Source organism: Homo sapiens, chromosome 5, assembly GCF_000001405.40.
Source record: "Homo sapiens chromosome 5, GRCh38.p14 Primary Assembly".
In the NCBI taxonomy this organism is placed as follows: Eukaryota; Metazoa; Chordata; class Mammalia; order Primates; family Hominidae; genus Homo; species Homo sapiens.
This window is the reverse complement of record NC_000005.10, coordinates 181,061,582-181,067,999: the sequence shown is the minus strand read 5'-3', so window position 1 is coordinate 181,067,999 and position 6,418 is coordinate 181,061,582. Positions and strand designations below refer to the sequence as shown.

Genomic DNA, 6,418 nt, shown 5'->3' with positions numbered 1-6,418 from the left:
TTTGGCTCATTGTTATTCAGGAGCAGGTTGTTTAATTTCCACATATTTGTGCATTTTGCAAGATTTCTCCTGTTGTTATTTTCTAGTTTCATACCATTGTGATTAGAACAGACACTTGATATAATTTCAGTCTTCTTATGTTGTGCTGTAACATAGAATCTATCCTGCACAATGTTCCATGTGCTCCAGAAAAGCATGTGTATTCTGTTGCTGTTGGATGAAATGTTCTGTATACATCTATGAGGTCTACTTGGTTTGAAGGCCAATGTTTCCTTTTTGATTTTCTGTCTGGATGTTCTATTCCTTGTTGAAAGTGAAATATTGGCCAGGCTCATGCTGGCGGTTCACACCTGTAATCCCAATACTTTGGGAAGTCTAGGAGGGAGGATTGCTTGAGGCCAGGAGTTCAAGTTGACCAGCCTGCACAACATACTAGACCCTGTCTCTACCAAAAAAAAAAAAAAAAAAAAAATTGCCAGGCATGGTGGTGGCACACGCCTGTAGTCCTAGCTACTTAGGAGGCTGGAGGCAGGAGGATTGCTTGAGCTCAGGAATTCAAGGTTACAGTGAGCTATGATTGTGTGACTTCACTCCAGCCCAGGCAACAGAGCAAAACCCTGTTTCTAAACAAAAAGTAAAAAAAAAAGTATTAAAGTCATCTCCTACAATTGCATTTTAGTTTATCTCTCCCTTTAAATTATTTTAAATTTGCTTTATATATTTAGGTGCTCTAGTTTTGGGCGCATATATATTTATAATTGTTATATCCTCTTAATATTGAAATATTATTACATAATGACTTTCTTAATCTCTTTTTACAATTTTTGACCTAAAGACTATTTTGTCTGATACAAGTATAGCTAACCCTGCTATCTTTGTGTATCCATGCACATGGAATATCTTTTTGCAAGTTGTATTTTTGTCTATTACTTTACTGCCCTATCAATTCTTTATTTTTAAAGTGAGTTGTCTGTCAATCTCTTCTTTTTAATAGAAGTGTTTATTCTGTTTGTAGTCATTATAGCTATCTCTCTGGTAAGATTTAAATCTAACATTTGCTTTTTGTTTTCTACGTATCTGTACCCTTTTCAAAAAACACAATTCCTCCTATTTGCATCCTATTGGACTAATCAAAATTGTTTGGTATTTTATTTTATCACCTCTATTGATTTTTTCAGTATAAATCTTCATCTTTTGGCATTTTATTTTATTGTTTTTTTCTTAACTTTAGAATTCACACTATGCAGTCTCCATATACTTCAGTCTACCTGGATTTGTTGTAACAATTTACAGATGACATAGAAAATTGAAAATGTTACATATCTTTTTGTGGAAAGGTCCCACTTTCAGGCCAGGGAGGGCCTTGAAGGCTGGGCTGCCAGTCCTGCGGACCTGAGTGGGGACTCGTGGTGCCTCTTCTGGACCCGCCTATGGCCACCCATGGACCAATCGGCATGCACTTCCTCCCCTCTAAGGCCTATAAAAGTCCCGAGACCAGCCAGAGCAGGCCAGAGAAGGACCACAAAACAAAGAGGGCAGAGAGACGACTGTACAGACGACCAGCTGGAGAGAGAATAGTACTCTCTCCACTGAAAGCTTCAGAGACCTGCCGGCAGAGAGGACGTATTTTCTCTGCTATGAGAGCTTCAGAGACCTGTAGAGACATCCAAATGACTTGCCTGTGGAGAGGAGCTACCCTCTTCAGGGCCTCCTTTCTGCCGAGGACTGAACACTCCATGGGCAACCAGCCTACAGTGAGGAGCTACTCACTCCTCTGAGCTGTTGGAACACTAAATAAAACTCTTCTTCACCCCTCACTTGTCTGTGTATGATACAGGAAAAGAACAAGAATTTGGGCAAAGTGCCACAGCCACAGAGGTTTCCAGGAGATACACCAGCAAAATCAACACCCCAGAGATCCCATAACACTACCACCAAAGAGCTTCCCATCCTCAGGCGCCCTCAAGCAGCAGAAGCCTCCCAACCAGGTTCAGCACTGGTGTATTCTGTACACTGGACGGAGATACACACGAAAGTGCTGCAATCACCCTTTTCCTACTTTTGAGGGTTAGCTGCATGGAAAATGTGAACGATAGGGAGAAGGACATCCACCATGTGCTATTTGTATACACTTGCATGGGGCCGCTTGCAGGAGGGAAACGTGGGTTTTTACTCTGCATGCTCCAGCCTTCTGGGCAGCCTCTCCCGGGGCCTTCATGGTTCACAAAATGTATACCTGAATGTCTCAGGTCTCTCTCAGTTTAAGGCTGGGTATTGGACCCTCCCACCCCCTTTTTTTTTTAAGTCCCCGGAGGGTATTTATTTTCTCTTTTCAACATCCTGTTCTGCAGCTTGCATCAGCTCTCCATATGCCGAAGAGCCAGGTGTTGGCACAGGCCATGTGGAGACTAGCAAAGGCTTTGGGGCAAAGGCTTTGAAGTTCTCCTCCTCGGTGATGATTTAGGCTTTCTCCTTCCTGTAGACATACCTGATGGGCATAACGGGTCTGGTCAATCTGGTGGCCAATTTCAGTTCTGCTGAACTGTCTCTCTTCTTGGGGGCCAAGGGCTTCCTGGGGAGAGGATGAGTTTGGTCCCATGCACCTTTAGGTGCCGTGCATTGGCCTGCGGGACTCAGTGGACTTGTTCTGTCATCTTGGCTCCACAGAGATGCCAATGGTTTGGCCCAGCTTCTTGTGAATGCCAGCTACCCTTAGCTCCTCCAAGCTGCAGACCCTGCCTACTTTGGTATGATGCCTTACCACGAGACACCTTACTATGGGCTGGATGGGCCCAGGAACGGGGGTCGGGGTGACGGGATCTTTGGCTGGCTGGTTGAGCCACATGGTTGTGTGCCGCTGTCAGCCCTTGTGAGAGAGGGGTTTGAACTTAATGCCACTCCAGCTGGGGCCCCTGGCTGCCTACAGCCCTCCTGCACTGGAAAACAGCCTGCCCATCATTTAAAGTGGGCTGATGGTGTCCACTGATTATTTAAACACAGTTTAGCATTGTTTTTTATATTAGCTGTATGTTTGCTTTTCTTATTTATCACATAAATACAGTCTTAAAGGAATAATAGCTACAGATGGAGAGGGAACATATTTTTAATGTTATCACAAAAACATTCATGAGTAAGAACCCTAAATATTCTCACACTAATGCAAATGACTCTAGAAAAAAAAACTTCCATTTTCTGAATATCATGTGTTAATTAAGGGGAATAGCTTTCTCCCAACAGGTGACCAAGAATATTTTCATAAGCTTAAAATGCACTTATCTGACTTGATGGAGAAACAAATTACAATCTCCCTCTAGAATTGCACAAACAATGGTCTCTGGAGCTGGCATCTCATGAGAGCTGATCATGGGTGTCTCTTCCTGCTATGGTCTGAATGTGTCCCTCTCCACCATGCCCCACTCACATGTTGAAATCGTAACACCCAATGCAATGTAGTAGGAGGTGGGACTTTTGGGAGGTGCTTAGGTCATGAGGGTGGAGTCCTTATGATGGGATTAATGCACTTGTAAAAACAGACCTGTTAGAGGCTGGGTGGCTCACGCCTTTAATGCCAGTCCTTTGGGAGGCCGAGGAGGACAGATCATGAGGTCAAGAGATCGAGACCACCCTGGCCAACATGGTGAAACCCTGTCTCTACTAAAAATACAAAAATTAGCTGGGTGTGGTGGTGCATGCCCGCAGTCCCAGCTACTCTGGAGGCTGAGGCAGGAGAATCACTTGAACCCAGGAGGTGGAGGTTGCTGTGAGCTGAGATCGCGCCACTGCACTCCAGCCTGGCGACAGAGTGAGACTGTCTCAAAAACAAAAAACAAACAAAAAAAACAGAAACAGACCCTGGTAGGGGCTGGATGAGGTAACTTATGCCTGTAATCTCAGCAGTTTGGGAGGCTGAGGTAGGTGGGTCACTTGAGGCCAGGAGTTCCAGACCAGCCTGGGCAACATAGCAAGACCCTGTCTCAATTTAAAAGACAAAAATATAAACGGACCCTGGAGAACTCTCTTGCTGTCTGCCATGTGAGGATACAAAGCAAAGCAGCAGTTTGCAACCCAGAAGAGAACCCTCGCCAACCCTGACCGTGCTGGGACCCTGATCCTGGACTTGCAGCCTCCAAAACTGTGAGAAATAAATTTCTGTTGTTTACAAGCCACTCCGTGTATGGTATTTTGTTACAGCAGCGAGAGCTGACTAAGGCACTTCTTCCGTGTGTGGTATTTTGTTACAGCAGCGAGAGCTGACTAAGGCACTTCCTCCATGTGTGGCATCTTGTTACAGCAGCGAGAGCTGACTAAGGCACTTCCCCCGTGTGTGGCATCTTGTTACAGCAGCGAGAGCTGACTAAGGCACTTCCCAGTCTGCCCTCAGTGGTGTCACATCTTTAGCTTGAAATCAACCATAGTGGGAGGACTTGCACCAGGGAAATTGGCTCAATATTTTTTTTTTCAGAAAGCCAGTTTTTTTTTTTTTTTTTTTTTTTTTTGAGACAGAGTCTCACTCTGTCGCCCAGGCTGGAGTGCAGTGGTGCAATCTCGGCTCACTGCAAGCTCCGCCTCCCGGGTTCACGCCATTCTCCTGCCTCAGCCTCCCGAGTAGCTGAGACTACAGGCACCCGCCACCGCGCCCAGCTGATTTTTTATATTTTTAGTAGAGACGGGGTTTCACCGTGTTAGCCAGGATGGTCTTGATCTCCTGACCTTGTGATCCACCGCCTCGGCCTCCCAAAGTGCTGGGATTGCAGGCATGAGCCACCGCGCCCAGCCTAGAAAGCCAGTTATTAAACATTTATCAGACACCACTGCATTTCTTTATCATTCTCTCTCTCTTTTGTTTATATTACTATATGTCTTAATGAACCATTTGAAAATAAGGTATAAACATCATAATCCTTTACCCCTTAATATGTAAGTGTGCATTTTCTTAAAAGCATTCTTCTACATCAAAATGAGGAAATTAACATTTATCCAATATTATTATCTAATCCACACACCTCTTTCAAAATGCCCTTTTTTCCCCCAATAATCTCCCCCCGCCGGACTCGAGCAATCATTCCACCTTAGCCTCCGAAAGTGCTGGGATTACAGGCCTGAGCCAATTTGTCTGGCCCAGTGATGTTTTTTATAGATCCAGGATCCCATCCAGGGTCACCTGTTGCACTTAGTTGTCCTGTTTCCTTTAGTCTGAAGCAGTTCCTTAGTGTTGTCCCGTCTTTCATGACCTTGACATTGTTGAAGAGTACCAGTCAGTTTCTGTGATGTTTCCTCCTGATTTATGCATTTTTGGGTGCAGGAATACCTCAAAAGTGATGCCGTTTGTATTCTGCATTGTATCAGGAAGAATGTGATGTAAACTGTTTTCGCATCTGGTGATGTTAACTTTTGTCATTTGGCTAAGGTGGCGCCTGCCAGCCTCCTCCACTGTAAAGTTAATTGGTACGTGTTTTGTACTTATGAGTTAAGAAGTAATATTTTCAGACTCCTATTGTAGGGCAGAGCTTTCTCTTCTCTCCATGAATTTGTTTATGTATGTATGTATGTATGTATGTATATCAGTGGGGAAATATACATATGGATTCCTATTTGATTCAGGGGTTCAAAATCCATTCTGACGTCTAAATCCATTCGACATGGCTCTTCTGTGCAACCTACTTCCTTATTTTCTGGTGTAGGATATTGTAGGCTCTCCTTGTATTTTCCCTGCCCCAGCCTTGGACTCAACCATTTCTCCAAGGAGACTTTATTCCTTTTACTGAAAATCGTACTAAAAACTAAGTTCTGGGTCTCGGTGTGCCCGTTGGTACTGGGGTGTTATTGTTGCTAAGCCTTCAAACAAGACAGAGCTGGGAACGATCTGCATGCACCCACACATATCTGTGTATCTGTCCACGTGTGTGCGTGCATTCCATCTCTCTACATGCAGTAAAACCCACGCATTCACATTGATACATCTCATTCCAGTCCACCTCAGAGTCACCCTCATCCTCTCCTTTCCCCTTTCCGTATTTCGTATTTCCCTTCACTGACAGCGAAACCCGACTCTCAGCGCACTTAGTGAATTCCCGACTCTCAGCGCCACTTAGTGAATTTTTTTATTTGTGCCACCTCCCTCTGGTACGTAACCGAACTCCCGGGCCTGTGGGGCGAAAGCTCATCCCAGAGGTGTCCCTGCCCCATCCGTTCCCATCCTGGTGCTAAAGGCCCTAGTAGAAATCTCAGTCCCCATGAAGAGGAAAAGAAAAGGAGAGGGAAAGAGGGAAGAAGGAGGAAAGACCAGTTAGAAAGCTTGGCTGCGGACCAGTCTCCCTTCCTCATTCCCCCTTTCAAACAAGACGGGCAAGGAAAGCTCTGCCTGGATTAAGGGGAAGGGGATGAGAGCCATATTTACTTACTCTGAAACAATGGCCTA

At 44.9% G+C, this 6,418-nt stretch overlaps 1 pseudogene; it reads right to left on the bottom strand.

Annotated features, from left to right (window-relative positions):
* RPL13P10 (ribosomal protein L13 pseudogene 10) lies at positions 2,320-2,845 on the bottom strand (annotated as a pseudogene).